A 16593-nucleotide genomic window follows, 5' to 3' on the forward strand; every position below is an offset into this window, starting at 1 on the left:
TTTCTGTTTTTAGGACTTTGAGGAATCACTGCACTGTCTTCCACAATGGTTGAACTAATTTACACTCCTTCCAACAGTATATAAGCATTCCTTTTTCTCCACAACCTTGCCAGCATCTGTTATTTTTTGACTTTTTAGTAATAGCCATTCTGACTGATGTGAGATGGTATCTCATTGTGGTTTTGATTTACGTTTCTCAAATGATCAGTGATGTTGAGCGTTTTTCCATAGGATTGTTGGCCTCGTGTATATCTTCTTTTGAGAAGTGTCTGTTCGTGTCCTTTGCCCACTTTTTAATGGGGTTGTCTTTTTCTTACAAATTTGTATAGACCCCTTCCTTATACCCCTTTACTGCAAAAATTAACTCAAAATTAAAGACTTAAATGTAAAACCCAAAGTACAAAAACCCTGGAAGGCAACCTAGGAAATACCATTCTGGACATAGGAGTGGGATAAAGATTTCATGATGAAGACACCAAAAGCGATTGCAACAAAAGCAAAAATTGACAAATGGGATCTAATTAAACTAAAGAGCTGCACAGCAAAGGAAATTATCAACAGGGTGAACAGACAGCCTACAGAATGGGAGAAAAATTTTGCGAACTATGCATCTGACAGAGTTCTAATATCCCTTTCTTTTCCTTACACCACTCTAATCCAGATGCTTGGCTTCTTTCTTGTCAGACATGTATACCAGCTTTTGAATTGTTCTCAGTAAATAGAAGCTACCATTTATTGATGATTTATACAATGCTAAGCATTTTGCATGCATTTTTTAAATTAATGCTCACAACATTTTGTAACTCTTACTGATTCCTGTTTTACAAAAGCTGAGGCACAGAGAAGTTAAATAACTTGCCCAAGGTCCCACAACTGATAAGTAGTGGAGCCAGGATTTAAACATAGGTAGTCTTGTTCTAAGTGCCGGTGACCCCCCTGCCGGCGCTGCTCACTGCTCTCAGATTTGGCTTGCCAAGGGTCATCCTGGTCACATTTATTTCCCTCTCAAAAGTCTTCAGAGGCTTCACGTCACTTCCCAGATAAACTAAAGACTTTAGAGGATGGAATTCAAGATCCTCCACGACATGTCGTCAGTCTGCTTTTATAGCATTATCTTACATGTTTGAATCCTGTGTGTCTTTTAAGTTGAACTCGTTGCCTTATCTGAACTCAGGCACTTTCTCACTTCAACACTTTGATTCACGTATTCCTCTCTAATTAGAATGCTTTCACCCGTTATCTCTACCTATCAAAATCTTTAACACCTTTCAAGGATCAGCTGAAAAGCCTGCTCCTTCATTGAACTTTTCTGGATAAGCCCTGTCACATATGGTCTATCTCTCACTCACTCATTTTCTTCTTTGAACCTCTCTAGAATTCCCTGTATATGTCTTTTAAGGGTGTTATCACCAACTGCCTTGTATTTTGCTGTTAGTATACCTGTACATTTCCCATATTATATTGAAAACTCTGTAAGTGGGGAACAGATCTTATTTATCTTCTTGCCTTACTCCGTGATTCCTGCAGATCCTTGCATATAGGGTATAGTACAAAGCATTACACATAACGAGTAAGTGTTCAATACATAATTTGTTGAGTGACTGAGTGAATAAATTTTTGTTCTTCTGTTTGTTCTTTAGTTCATTCATCTTTTAAAGTAACATCTTGAAAGCAGGTTCAGCTCACATACAAAATATCTCATAGCGTTCTTTATATGGACCATTGCTCTCACCCAGAATATTTCTTAGCTTTTTTTATATTAAAGGGTGAAATGGAAGGTTAAGAGTTAGAAGCGTATTTGATCTTTTCCTGACCCTCTCCTGACTTTTGTGTGACTTCAAGCATGTCACTTGAACCTCCCAGTGACCTCAGCTGTGAAACGGGGCTGCCTGATGTCACAGAGGATTGTGAAGAGCAGCAAATCACAGTCCTTGTCCAAACTGAATCACCTGCAGGGTCTGACGCCTGCATGGAATGATGAGGGAAATTTAATTTTCCAAGCAAAGTGGTCAGTTGGACCCACACTTTGAATGTCTATGGGCACAATTAGATGAGTCCTTGAAAATCTGTTGCTTTTCCTACTCAAAATGTTTCTCATGTTATGCTTCTAAATGTTCTTATTTTTTAGACAAAAAAGCATATTGTAAATGTTTCCCTTTTTAGACTTCTGAGGTAGGAATATATTACAAGATATTTTTAAAAGAAGTTGAATTTTGGAAAGAATAATGTACCATGAATTTCTATTTTATACTATTGAATTTAGAAAATGTTCTGCCTCAAAGAGAACATTTTGAAAATGATGCTAATCACATTTTAAAGATAACTATTTCATAATGACCATGTGTAATTCATGAAACGTGTTTCTACCTTTTTGTCTGTTTGTTTGGTGCAGGTAGTCAAGACAATTGCAGATAAGTAGAGCAGAAAACAAATAAAAATACTGTTAGCCATCTTGTAAACAGAACCTTTTTATACCATTAATGTATTCTATAAAATCTTTCAAGTAGTAATGCTTGGAGGATTTAATAGATTTCCCACTATTGTTTGTTTTCTAAGTGGGAAAAATCCATCTAACAGGAAATTTCTTAGCATTGTATATTGCATGTGCCAATTATCATTCTTTGACTGCTTTGGGTTTCTGCTGCTTTTAAACTAGCATTTAAATGGACCATTTGATTAATCATTTGTATACTGACTATAATCCTCCCAAATTTCCTTTCTGAGTTGTACATACTGTAAAAGACAATTATGTCGCCATAGATTAAATAAGTGAATTAAAACAGAATAGCAGCTTAATTTGACCTGTGATTTTGCTCTCTTTCCCTTTAGTGAAGTGTGTGCCACTCCAGCAAATAAACGAAGTCATCCATGACAGCTTGTGATGAATTGCCGTATTTATACTGTATATTTTAATAGCCTCACACTAATTTAAATTGAGCACAGAGTAAATTATAATTCAGTCACTTGACTGCTTATATTTAACTTGACAACTCATCCTTATTTGTCCTGGAGGTGTAGTGGAGAGCAGTGGAAATGCACCAAGGTATTTCAGTTTCTCACTTAACCCTTTCTCCATGGAATGCTTCATATTCAAATTCTTTCCAGTTTGAAACATTTAGCACTTCCTAAGGAGAAAAAAATAATGAAGAATCAGGGAGTCCGTACTTTCCTTGGACTCCAAAAAGAAAATTAGTCTTTGCCATGCTTTTTGCCATTGCCTTCAAATAAGGAATTGGATTTGTTTATTTTTAGCAGTTTTAAAGCTCACTCACAAGAATACACAGGGGAAGGAGAATTAACCTTCCACCCAGAGTGCCAAGTCTCCCAGAAAATAGAGAGCATTTGAATAGAGTTATTTTAAGGTGGGTTCTACTTTCCCTCTCAAGTTCTCAGAAATTACTTTATTTGTTTTTTCCATCATTTTGGAATCTCCTCTATTCTAGACTAAAGCAAATACCAACAATGATCAAAACGAATTAGAGTACAGCAGATTAGCTCCACAAATACAGTATTCCTTACTACATTTTAGGTCAGTGTGGCATTTTTATTTGTTTGGTGGTGTACATTTTTAGTTTTAAATTCAGTTTAAAATCAAGCAATCTATTTCTTCTGTCTAGAAACAGTTTCTTATAAAGAGGATTATAGTTGTAAAGACTTGAGTTAAATCCTACATCACTTACTAGGCACTACTGTGAGTTAGACCCTGTGTGGAGTGCTGGGGGGGATAGAAAAATGTACAAGACTCAGCCCTTGCCCTTGAGAGGCGCATAGCCACTCTAATCTTGAGGCTTCTGTTTTTAGGAGATGAGGGATGCATGCTCAAGGCAGAATGTACATATTGAGGGCCAGAGCTAGAGATGAATTTTGATGGAGGACTTTGAGGTGAGCTTCATGGAGACAATGGTGGCATTCAAGCTGGGTCTAAAAGATAGAACAGGTTTTTTCAATCAGTGCCTGGAGAAGAGAGAGGAAGCACACCCCAAGTACAGGAAACAGCAGGAGCAAAGGCTGTAAGTAGGGAAAGCACAGGATATGTGTGTACACCAGGAAATGTCATCTGATTTCACATGAAGGGTGGGTTTGTGGTGGGAGTAGTGGGAAGAGGAGTTAGAATAAGTTGTCTATATTGTGGAAGAATTCCTTGAATGTCATGCTAGAGTTTTAACTTTATTGTAGGCGATGGGAACACATTAAGGTTCTTGATCAAGGGAATGATATATTCACAGCCAGTAGTTTGGGGTTAATTCCAGGAGGGTGGCTAGCAATGTGGAATCATGTCATTTCTGGGTTGTTGGTGGCCTGGAGATGCAATATATCTTAATAGTCATATATCTTAGCACTGAATAAATGGCTTTTGAAACCTTAAATAAGTGATTCTCAACCTTACTTTGGGTTAGGAATTACCTGGGGAGCTTTACAAAATAACAAAGATGTGGGCCCAACCCAAGGGATTCTCATTCCATTGTTTTGGGGTAAAGCCTGCACCTTGGGATTTTTTTCAAGTGCCCTAGGTATTACGATATGAGGCCAGGGTTGAGAACCATTGATTTAAGGTTAATAATAACTTCATTCCTTTTATCAGACTTTTTTAGAGTGAGAGATTCCTGGTACTTGTCATCATAGTAGGAATAGCTGTAGTATTTTATGCTATAGGATTGAACTGATGCTAGATGAATTAATTTTGTTGGTAAGTTTTACACAAAAACAAAAATGTAAGTGAATATTGTTGGCAAGTGACTATTGATCAGGAGAAGTGTTTAAATGTTTCTTGGCAGTTTTGTATTACACTTACAGTCTAGTTTACTGAGATCTTATAAATAACCCCAAAGCAAACTCTTTTATTTTTTTTGAGACAGAGTCTCGCTCTGTTGCCCAGACTGGTGTGCAGTGGCGTGATCTCAGCTCACTGGAAGCTCCGCCTCCTGGGTTCACGCCATTCTTCTGCCTTAGCCTCCCAAGTAGCTGGGACTACAGGTGCCCGCCACCACACCTGGCTAATTTTTTGTATTTTTAGTAGAGATGGGGTTTCACCGTGTTAGCCAGGATGGTCTCGATCTCCTGACCTCGTGATCTGCCCGCCTCAGCCTCCTCCCAAAGTGCTGGGATTACAGGCGTGAGCCACCGCGCCCAGCTGCAAACTCTTGATAGAAACCACCTATGCCTTTTTTTTCCCCACCTTCCGCTTCCCCAAATCAACGCCTGGCCAATGTCAGGACTATAAAATGTACTTTAGAATTGTCCTTTTCTTTCCTTGCTCTATTAGCAGTTTATAATGCATAACTTATGCTTTTTTCTTCAGTATGATTGTATATATATTCTTCAGTTGTAATACAAAATGTAATTCAAAGTTGAATGCTACATAACTACACTATCATAGTAATTCTGAATGTTAAGTTTTTATCTAGAAATGTCTAGAGCCAGAAACTCTGCCACAAATCATAAAAATTGTTTTCCACCTATTCTATTCTCATCACTGCCTTTTAAAAGTAAAAAACAAGCTGGGCACGGTGGCTCACGCCTGTAATCCCAGCACTTTGGGAGGCTGAGGCAGGTGGATCACCTGAGGTCAGGAATTCGAGACCAGCCTGGCCAACATGGTGAAACCCTGTCTGCGCTAAAAATAGAAAAATCAACCGGGTGTGGTGGCAGGTGCCTGTAATCCCAGCTACTTGGGAGGCTGAGGCAGGAGAATGGCTTGAACCCGGGAGGCGGAGGTTGCAGTGAGCCAAGATCGCGCCACTACACTCCAGCCTGGGTGACAGGGCAGGACTCCATCTCTAAATAAATAAATAAATAAATAAAACAATTACTCTTGAATTAGTTTCACTGACATGCTTAGTAGAATTTGAACAGTATGGTCTTCTTTCTTAAAAAAATATGTGTTTGAAATAAACTAGAATTTATTCTAGATAAGTTTATAAATATTTTATATTTATGGGTTATAAATCACTGTGGGTAATATCACTCAGTGATTGATATTTTAAATAAACCATAAAGTACTGAAAAGCCCATGAGACTGAGTCCAGAGGAGGGGGTCCTACCATTCCCAGGCTCTGTGGCTCCCAGGAGGGAAACGTGGTTTCCTCCTCACTCAAAAGAAGGGAGTTAATGAAATAAGATTTCTTCAAGCTTTAACTTTCTGTAACAGGATTAGCAAAGAACATTACCTGACTGGAAAAAAAAAAGATGATATATTTTTAAAATTCCTTATTTCTCTCATAACTAAAAACCCCACTTAAAATGTTATTTTTGGCTGGGCATGGTGGCTTACGCTTGTAATCCCAGAACTTTGGGAGGCTGAGGTGAGCGGATCATTGAGGTCAGGAGTTCAAGACCAGCCTGGCCAACATGGTGAAACCCCATCTCTACTAAAAATACAAAAATTAGCCAGGTGTGGTGGCAGACACCTGTAATCCCAGCTACTCAGGAGGCTGAGACACGAGAATCGCTTGAGCCCATGAGACAGAGGTTGCTTGAACCCAGGAGACAGAGGTTGCAGTAAGCCGAGATCATGCCACTGCACTCCAGCCTGGGTAACAGAGCAAGACTCTGTCTCAAGAAAAGAAAAAAGTTATTTTTTGGCCAGTTGTGATGGCTCATGCCTGTAATCCCAGTGCTTTGGGAGGCTGAGGTGGGCAGATTGCTTGAGCTCAGGAGTTCGAGACCAGCCTGAGCAACATAGTGAAACCCCCATCTCTACCAAAAATGCAAAAAATTAGCTGGGTATGGTGGCACACCTGTGGTCCCAGCTACTTGGGTGGCTGAGGTGGGAGGTTTGTTTAAGTCTGGGAGGCAGAGATTGCAGTGAACCAAGATCGCCCCACTGCACTCCAGCCTGGGTGACAGCATGAGACTGTGTCTCTAAATAAATAAATAAAATGTCATTTTTATTCATCATCCTCTCTGCTTATTGCCTAGTGTCTGATCACAAACCACAAGATAGTTCTTTTTTTTAAGAGACAGGATTTCTCTCTTTCACCCAGGTGGGAGTGCAGAGGTGCAGTCATGGCTCACTTCAGCCTCAAATTCCTGAGCTCAAGTGATCCTCCCACCTCAGCCTCCCAAGTAGATTGGGACCACCCGATCATACTACACACAGGTAATTTTTTTTTTTTTTTGTAGAGATGGGTTCTCGCTATGGTGCTTAGACTGGCCATATACCCCTGGCCTTCAGGTACCCTTCCACCTCAGCCTCCCTTCCAGAGTGCTGGGATTACAGGTGTGTGCCACTGCACGTAGCCAACATAATTCTTTTATATTGGTTTGAGGGTCATTCCTATGCTCCTCTTTTGAAAATAGCCAATGTGGCTAAAATAGAGTGCATAAATTAAGAGTGTTATAACTTAACTGACTTTTAAAGCCATTACTATTGACCTTTGAGACCTGGCTTTTTTCTTTGGTCCCATCAATCACTTCTGTACCACCTCCCCCAGTATAGAAGGACAAAAGGTTAGACAGATGCAGATACAGCTTGTATTACTGGGAATTATAGTGGTAAGAAGAAGGAGGTGGGGAAGAATAAAGGAACTACCATGTTTTTAGTTCTTATATTTCATAGTGATTATAACTAATATAATTAGAAGATTAAAAAATATTAATACCTTTCTATATTTAGGTCATACTACTAGATATTACACTGGAACTTCAGAAGCAAATTATGTCTGAATTGGAAATTCTTTATAAGGTAATTTTTTCATAATTTTTATTTGTAAAGCATGCCTATGGTATTGACTTGCAGGTTTATAACTACTTTTGTCTTATTTTTGTTACAGTGCGATTCATCATATATCATTGGATTTTATGGAGCATTTTTTGTAGAAAACAGGATTTCAATATGTACAGAATTCATGGATGGTGAGTTTTCCCTTTTATAATACTTTTAAAATGATTTTTAGAGTATATAGTGCTTTAAAACCTGGTTTTGATATAGATATCAAATAGAATTAAAGATAATAAAATATGCTAATAATTACCTCATTTATACTCTAAGATTATTTCAGTGTTAGGGGTTCCTGGGGTTAAATATTTATAGCCGAACTGTAATTTTAAGAATTGAACTTCACTTTTATTGAAAATTTAAATAGAACAGATTAAATGCTAGTCTAATTGGTGGTTTGATATTTGATTCTTTTGCACAATCTGTCTTTACTTGCAAAACAGATGTTCTGTTCTTTTAATGTTTCAATAGCCAAAACAGATTTTCTTTTAAAGAAATCTATTAACCCAATGTCCTGTGTCTTTCAGAAAGAAATCGGTTCTTAATTGCAAGATAAGAAATTGTTTTTCAACACAGCTGTTTAGCCAAGATGTGTTTAATTTTCTTTGGACTTTAGCCCTTTCCTTCCCTCTCTATTTTTTTATTCATTTCTATTTTGGTAGTTCTTTCTTGACCTGAATATTACGGCAAAATACAGATTTCTAGGGACATATCAGTGAAATGATGTCATCATTATTATTATTTACCAATTTTAAATCTAAGCAGTCTTTAAATTTTACATATTCAGTTTTCCATAGTCTAGTCCATTAAAACACAACTTAAGAAAATATTGTTAGTTCCTTGTGGAGATTCTCAGTACATTACTAAAGCAATTAGTTTGTGCCCTGCAAAACTTTAATGAGCCAACATTGGTACCTTGATACTGTCATAAGGTGTACAACATGCTCTAAATTAGTTATAGTAGAATGTCAAAAATTAAAAATCTTACAGCCATATAGGTAAGTATGGTAACTGTGGAGACTGACCAGAAAAAGTGGATTCATTGAGCCAGTACATGTTACTGTGTTGTAACTTTTATCATTCTTTCTTTGAAGTCTTCAATTTTTCAGTTCTACTCAAACATTTTTGTTGAAACAGGGCACGGTGGTTCACGCATGTAATCCCAGCACTTTGGGAGACTAAGGTGGGAAGATTGCTTGAGCCCAGGAGTTTGAGACCAGCATAAGCAATATAGTGAGATCTCATCTTTACAAAAAAATTTTTAAAAATATGGCCGGGCACGGTGGCTTACTCCTGTAATCCTAGCACTTTGGGAGGCCGAGGCAAGCGGAGTTTGAGACCAGCCTAACCAACATGGCGAAAACCCGTCTCTATAGAAAATACAAAAATTAGCCAGGTGTGGTAGCGCATACCTGTAGTCTCAGCTACTTGGGAGGCTGAGACTGAGAATTGCTTGAACCTGGGAGGTGGAGGTTGCAGTGAACCAAGATCGCGCCACTGCACTCCACCCTGGGTGACAAAGTGAGACTCTGTCTTAAAAAAAATAAAAAAAGGAAAATTAGCTAAGCATGGTGGTACGGGCCTGTAGTCTCAGTTACTCTGGGGGCTGAGGTGGGAGGATTGCTTGAGCCCAGGAGATTAAGCCTGTAGTGAGCTGTGATCGTGCCACTGCACTCCAGTCTAGGCAACAGAGTGAGACCCTGTATCAAAAAACAAATAAATTAAAATTTTTTATTGAAATATAACTCAGATACCATAAAATTCACCCTTTAAAAGTGTACAATTCCATGGTTTTTGATATACTCACAAGGTTGTGTAGTCATCACCACTGTATAATTCCAAAACACTTTTTACCACCCCCAGAAAGAGACTTCCTACCTATTAGTACTCACTCTCTACTTTCTCTTTCCTCAAGTCCTTGGCAACCACTGATTTATCTTCTGTCTCTATGGATTTACCTATTCTGGACATTCCATATAAATGGAATCTGATAATATATGGCCTTTGTGTCTGGCTTCCTTTACTTAGTATAATGTTTTCAGTGTTCATCCATACTATTGCATATATGAGAACTTCATTCCTTTTTATTGCTGAATAACATTTCGTTGTATGGCTATACTACATTTTGTTTATTCTTTCATTAGTTGATGGACATTTGGGATAGTTCTACTTTATGCATAATTATGAATAATGCTACTCTATATATTTGTGTACAAGTTTTTGTGTGGACATACGTTTTCAGTTCTTTTTTTTTTTTTGAAACAGAGTCTCGCTCTGTCGCCTAGGCTGGAGTGCAGTGGGGTGATCTCGGCTCACTGCAACCTCCACTGCAACCTCCACCTCCTGGGTTCAAGCGATTCTCCTGCCTCAGCCTCCCGAGTAGCTGGGACTACAGGCGCGTGCCACCATGCCCAGCTAAGTTTTGTATTTTCAGTAGAGACAGAGTTTCACTGTGTTAGGATGGTCTCGATCTCCTGACCTCGTGATCTCCCCGCCTTGGCCTCCCGAGGTGCTGGGATTACAGGTGTGAGCCACTGCACCCGGTCAGTGTTTTCAGTTCTTTTGGGTATATACCTAGGAGTAAAGTTGCTAGGTCATATGGTAGCTTTATGTTTAACTTTTTAATAAACTACCAAACTTTTCCAATCTGTTTTACACCACTTTGCATTCATACCAGCACTGTATAAGGTTCCATTTTCTTCATATTTTTGCCAATACTTGTCATTTTGTGTCTTTTTAAAATTGTGGGCTTGTAGTGTGACATGGTATCCCATTTTGGTTTTGATTTAGGTTTCTCTAATGACTAATGATGTTGAGCATCTTTTCATGTGCTTATTGGCCATTTGTATACCTTCTTTTGAGAAATATGTTTTCAAATCCTTTGTCTATTTTTTAAATGAGTTATTGGGCTTTTATTGTTGAGTTGTGAGAATTCTTTATGTATTCTAATACTTGGCTCTTATCAGATATGGGATTTCCAAATATTTTCACTTATTGTTTATCTTTTCACTTTCTTTTTTCTTTTCTTTTCCTTTTTTTGAGCTGCGGTCTCATTATGTTGCCCAGGCTAGTTTTGAACTCCTGGGCTCAAGTGATCCTCCCACCTCAGCCTCAAGTTTTATTGTTTTAGCTTTTATATTTAAGCCTTTGATTTATTTTTGAGTTAATTTTTATATATGGTATGAGATAGGGGTCCAAATTTATTCGTTTGCATGTAGATATACATTTGTTCCAGTACCGTTTGTTAAAGACTGTTTTTCCCATTGAATTTTCTTGTTATACTTGTTGAAAATTGACCATAACATATATTTCTGTACTTTCAGATCAATGCGTATACATCTCGCATTGATCTAGTTGTCTATCTTTGTACCAGTACCACACCATATTTGATTACTTGTACTTGAAAACTCTGGATTATTATAGTTTTTAAGTTTCAAATCGAGAAGTGTAAGTGCTCCAACTTTGTTCTTTTCAAGATTGTTTTGGCCATTTTGAATACCTAGCATTTTCATTTGAATTTTAGAATCAGCTTGGCAATTTCTCCAAAAAAATCCAGCTGGGATTTTGATAAGAATTGAATTGAATTTTTAGATCAACTTGGGGAATATTGCTGTCTTAACATTATTTAATCTTCCACTCCGTGAACACAGATGTCTTTCAACTTACTTAGGTCTTCTTTAATTGTTTTTCAATGATTTAAAAATAATTTTTAGGGTATAAGTGGTAACTATTTGTTAAATTTGCTTCTAAGTTTTTTTAATGCTGTTTTTCTTAATTTCATTTTTGGATTGTTCATTGCCAGTGTATAGAACTGTAATTGATTTTTGTATATTGATCTTGTATTCTGCAACCTTGCTGAACTTGTTTACTAATGTTAATAGCTTTTTGTGGATTCCTTAGGGTTCTCTATATACAAGATAATGCCATCTGCAAATAGAGGTAGTTTTAGTGCTTTCTTTTCAATTCTGAATGTCTTTTATTTCCTTTTCTTGCTTAATTACCCTGGCTAGAACCTTCAGTACAATGTTGAATAGACTGATGAGAGCAGACATCCTTCTCTTGTTCCTGACCTTAGAGGGAGAGCTTTCAGTCTTTCACCATTAAATATGATGTTAGCCATGGGTTTGGAATAGTTGTCCTTTGTCAGGTTGAGGAAATTCCTTTCTATTTCTAGTTTGTTGAGTTTTTTTTTTTTTTAATTATGAAAGGGTATTAAATTTTGTCAAATGCCTGTTTTATATCTATTGAAATAATCGTGCATATTTGGTCCTTTATTCTATTAATATATGGTATACTATATTAATTGATTTTTGCAAAATGAACCAGTCTTGCAGTGTTGGAATTATTCCACTTAGTCATGATGTGTAATTCTTTTTATATGTTCCTGGGTTCAGTTTGCTAGTATTTTCTTGATGATTTTTGTATTCATATTTATGAGGGACATTGGTCTAGTTTTCTTTTTTTGTGATGTCAGTGTCTGATTTTGGTATCAGGATAATTCTGGCCTTATAGAATGAGTTTGGAAGTGTTGCCACCTCTTCCATTTTTTGAAAGAGTTTATGAAGGATTCATGTTAATTCTTTTTTTAAAACATTTTAGGGGCTGGACAGGGTGGCTCACGCCTGTAATCCCAGCATTTTGGAAGGCCAAGGCAGGTGGATCACTGGAGGTCAGGAGTTCAAGACCAGCCTGGCCAACATGGTGAAACCCCATCTCTACTAAAAGTACCAAAAAAATTAGCTGGGCATGGTGGCACATGCCTGTAATCCCAGCTACTTGAGAGGCTGAGGCAGGAGAATCACTTGAACCTGGAAGCTGGAGGTTGCAGTGAGCCAAGATCATGCCACTGCACTCCAGCCTGGGTGACAGAGACTCTGTCTCAAAATAAATAAATCAATCAAAATTTTTATGGATCCATAATATTGTACATATTTATGGAGTACATGCATAATAATATTTTGACACAAGCATACAATGTGTAGTAATCAACTCAAAGTAATGGAGATATGTATGACCACAAACATTTATCATTTCTTTGTGTTAGGAGCATTGCAATTCCACTTGTGTAGTTATTTTGAAATATACAATAAATTATTAATTGTGATCACTCTGTTGTGGTGCCAAACACTGGATCTTATTCTTTCTATCTGACTGTACTTTTTTACCCATTAACCAACCCCTCTTTGTCCTTCCTTTCTCACTACCCTTCTCAGTCTCTGGTAATCATCACTCTACTATGTCTCCATAATCATTTGTTTTTGGCTCCCACATGTGAGTGAGAACATATATGTCTTTCTGTGTCCAGATTATTTCATTTAAAATAATATCCACCCATATTCTTGCAAATAATAGGATTTCATTCTTTTTATGGCTGAATAATATTTCATTGTGTTTATGTACCACATTTTCTTTATCTTTATTTTTTCTTCGATGGACACTCAGATTGATTTCATATCTTGGCTATTGTGAATAGTGCTGCAGTAAACATTAGAGTGCACATATCTCTTCAATTTACTGATTTCCTTTCTTTTGGATATATACCCAATGGTGAAATTACTGGATCATAATAAGGTAGTTCTATTTTTAGTTTTTTTGAGGAATTTCCATACTGTTTTCCATGGTAGCTGTACTAGTTTACATTCCCATCAATAGTGTATGAAGGTTCCCCTTTCTCCACATCCTTGCCAGCATCTATTATTCCCTGTCTTTTTGATAAAAGCCATTTCAGCTGGAGTGAGAGGATATCTCACTGTGGTTTTGATTTGCATTTCCCTGGTGATTAGTGATGTCAAACATTTTTTCAAATGCCTTACGTTGATTCTTCTTTAAACATTTGATAGAATTCACCAGTGAAATCATCTGGTTCTGAGGTTTTCGGGGTGTGTCATTAGTGCGTGTTTTTTTTAAATTATGATATAATACTCATACAAAAATTTTAACCTTATTAGCCATGATATTAGTCCATCTTGTGTTGCTATAAAGGAATACCTGAGACTGGGTAATTTATAAAGAAAAGTGGTTTATTTGGCTTATTATTTTGCAGGCTGTATAAGAAACATGGTGCCCAGCACCTGTTTCTGGTCTGGGTCTCAGGAAGCTTCCATTCGTGGAGCAAGAGAGAGAGGAGGGAGGTCCCAGACACTTTTTAACAACCAAATCTTGCAGGAACTTAGAGTGAGAGTTCACTTAATTTTGTGAGAATGACACCAAGTCTTTCATGAGGGATCCACTCCTTTGACCCAAACACCTCTCACGAGGCCCCATCTTCAACATTGGGAGTGAGATTTCAACATGAGTTTTGAAGGGGACAAATATTCAAACTGTATCAGCCATTTTAAGTATATAATTCAGCAGCATGAAGTACATTAACATGGTTGTGCAACTGTCACCACCATCCATCTGCAGAACTCTTTTTGTCTTGCAAAACTGAAACTCTATACCTATTAAATAAGAACTCCTCATTCACCCCCGCTCCCAGCCCCTGGCAAACAGCATTATACTCTGTCTCTATGTGACTACTCTAGGTACCTCATATAATTGGAATCACACAGTATTTGTCTTATTGTGTCTGGCTTATTTCATTTTGCATTATGTCCTTAAGAGTCATCCATGTTGTAGCATGTGTCAGAATTTTCTTCCTTTTAAAAGCTGAATAATATTTGTGATTAGTTTTTTTATTACCAACTCAATCTCTTTATATACTGGTTTAGTCAGATTTTTTATTTTTTCTTGAGTCAGTTTTGGTAGTTTGTGTTTTTCTCAGAATTAATCTGTTTCATCTAGGTTATCTAATTTATTGATACACAGTTCTGAAAAATCTCTTATAATCCTTTTTATTTCTGCAAAGTTGGTAGTAATGTTCCCTCTTCCATTCCAGATTTTAGTTACTTGAGTCTCCTCACTTATTTTCTTGGTCAGTGTAGCTAAAAGTTTGTCAGTTTCTCTGTTTAAAATATTTTTTTTTTTTTTTGAGACGGAGTTCTGCTCTTGTTGCCCAGGCTAGAGTACAATGGCACAATGTCAGCTCACAGCAACCTCTGCCTCCTGGGTTCAAGCCGTTCTCCTGCCTCAGCCTCCAGAGTAGCTGGGATTACAAGCACCCAGCTACTCTGTGCCACCATGCCCTGCTAATTTTGTATTTTTAGTAGAGACAGGGTTTCTCCATGTTGGTCAGGCTGGTCTCGAACTCCTGACCTCAGGTGATCCACCCACCTTGGCCTCCCAAAGTGCTGGGATTACAGGTGTGAGCCACCACACCCAGCTAAAAAAAATTTTTTCATTTAAAATGAAACCGACTTTTGGTTTCTTTGATTTTCTCTATTTTTTTTTCTATTCTCTGTTTTGTTTATTTCTGCTTAAATTTTATTATTTTCTTTTTTTCTGCTTTCTTTGAGTTTAGTTTTAGCTTGATGTTCTCCTTCTGTTTAAGGTAGCAAGTTAGGATATTGATTTGAGATCTTTCTTCTTATTTAATGTAGGTTATAAATTTTCCTCTAAGCACGGCTTTAGTTGCATCCTAGAAGTTTTGGTATGTTGTGTTTTTATTTTCATTAATCTCAAAGTATTTTCCATTTTTCTATGATAGAAATCTCTTGCGATTTCTTTTTGACCCATTTTTATTTAGGTATGTGCTGTTTAATTTCCACATATGCGTACTTGAGAAGAATATATTCTACTGTGGTTAAGTGAAGTATCCTTTACATGTCAGTTAATTCTGATTGGTTTATAATACTGTTCAGTATTTTCTTATTAATCTTCTGTATAGTTTTGTCCATTTTTGAAAGTGAGATATTGAAGTCTCAAAAACTAATATTTTTGAGTTGTCTATTTCTCCTTTCAGTTCTTTCAGTTTATGTTTCATATATTTTGGCACTCCGTTGTTAGGTCCATGCATGTTTATAATTGTTATATCTTCTTGGTTGATTGATCCTTTTATCATTAGAAAATGTCTTTGTCTCTAGTAACAATATTTAACAATAGTTATCTAAAAGTCTATTTTTTCCACTAGTATAGTCACTGCAGCTCCCTTTTGATTACTATTTGAATAGTATATCTTTTTTCACCATTTTTCAACCTGTTGGTGTCTTTAAATATAAAATACCTTTGTTGTAGACAGCATATAGTTGGATCATTTTTTTAAAAATCAATTCTGCCAATCTCTTATTTAATTAGAGTGCTTAAACCTTTTACATTAATTACTAACAAGGTGAGATGTATCTATCCCATTCTATTTGTTTTCTATAAGTCATGTCTTTCATGTTCTGTTGTTGCTTTCTTTTATATCAAGTAGATATTTTCAAAGGTACCATTTAAATTCCCCATGGTTGCTTTTACTCTGTGTTTTTGAGTTATATTCTTAATGTTGCTCTAGGGATTACAATTAACTTCTTAACTTATAACAATTTAGTTCAGATTAACACTGACTTTATTTTAATAGTATACAAAAGGCCAGGCATGGTGGCTCACACCTGTAATCCCAGCACTTTGGGAGGCCGAGGTGCGCGGATCACCTGAGGTCAGGAGTTCAAGATTAGCCTGGCCGAGTTGGTGAAACCTCGTCTCTCCTAAAAAAAAATACAAAAATTAGCTGGACTCAGTGGTGCATGCCTGTAATCCCAGCTACTCGGGAGGCTGAGGCTGGAGAATAGCTTGAATCCAGGAGGCAGAGGTTGCAGTGAGCCGAGATTGTGCCACTGCACTCCAGACTGGGTGACAGAGTGAGACTCCATCTCAAAAAAAAAAAAAAATAGTATACAAAAACTTTGCTTCTGTATAGCTCAATTTCTTCTCATCTTTTTTATGCTATTATTGTCATATAAGTTACATTCCTATACATTGTGTGTCCAACACAAATTTAAAATTATGCCATTGTCTCT

At 37.1% G+C, this 16593-nt stretch overlaps 1 protein-coding gene across 8 annotated transcripts in view; it reads left to right on the plus strand.

The window, feature by feature from the left end:
• The window catches only part of MAP2K5 (mitogen-activated protein kinase kinase 5), a 264412-nt gene that overhangs the window by 95913 nt on the left and 151906 nt on the right, over positions 1-16593 (plus strand). For all 8 annotated transcript variants that reach the window (XR_007064474.1, NM_145160.3, NM_002757.4 and 5 more), the window contains exons 10-11: positions 7616-7684; positions 7773-7854. Coding sequence is in view for 7 of the 8 variants with exons in the window: in NM_145160.3 (NP_660143.1) it covers positions 7616-7684; positions 7773-7854 (151 nt within the window). In the remaining variant the exon portion in view is untranslated. The remainder of the gene's footprint in view (positions 1-7615; positions 7685-7772; positions 7855-16593) is intronic.

The sequence above is a fragment of the Homo sapiens genome, chromosome 15 (genome assembly GCF_000001405.40).
Source record: "Homo sapiens chromosome 15, GRCh38.p14 Primary Assembly".
NCBI classification, from domain to species: Eukaryota; Metazoa; Chordata; class Mammalia; order Primates; family Hominidae; genus Homo; species Homo sapiens.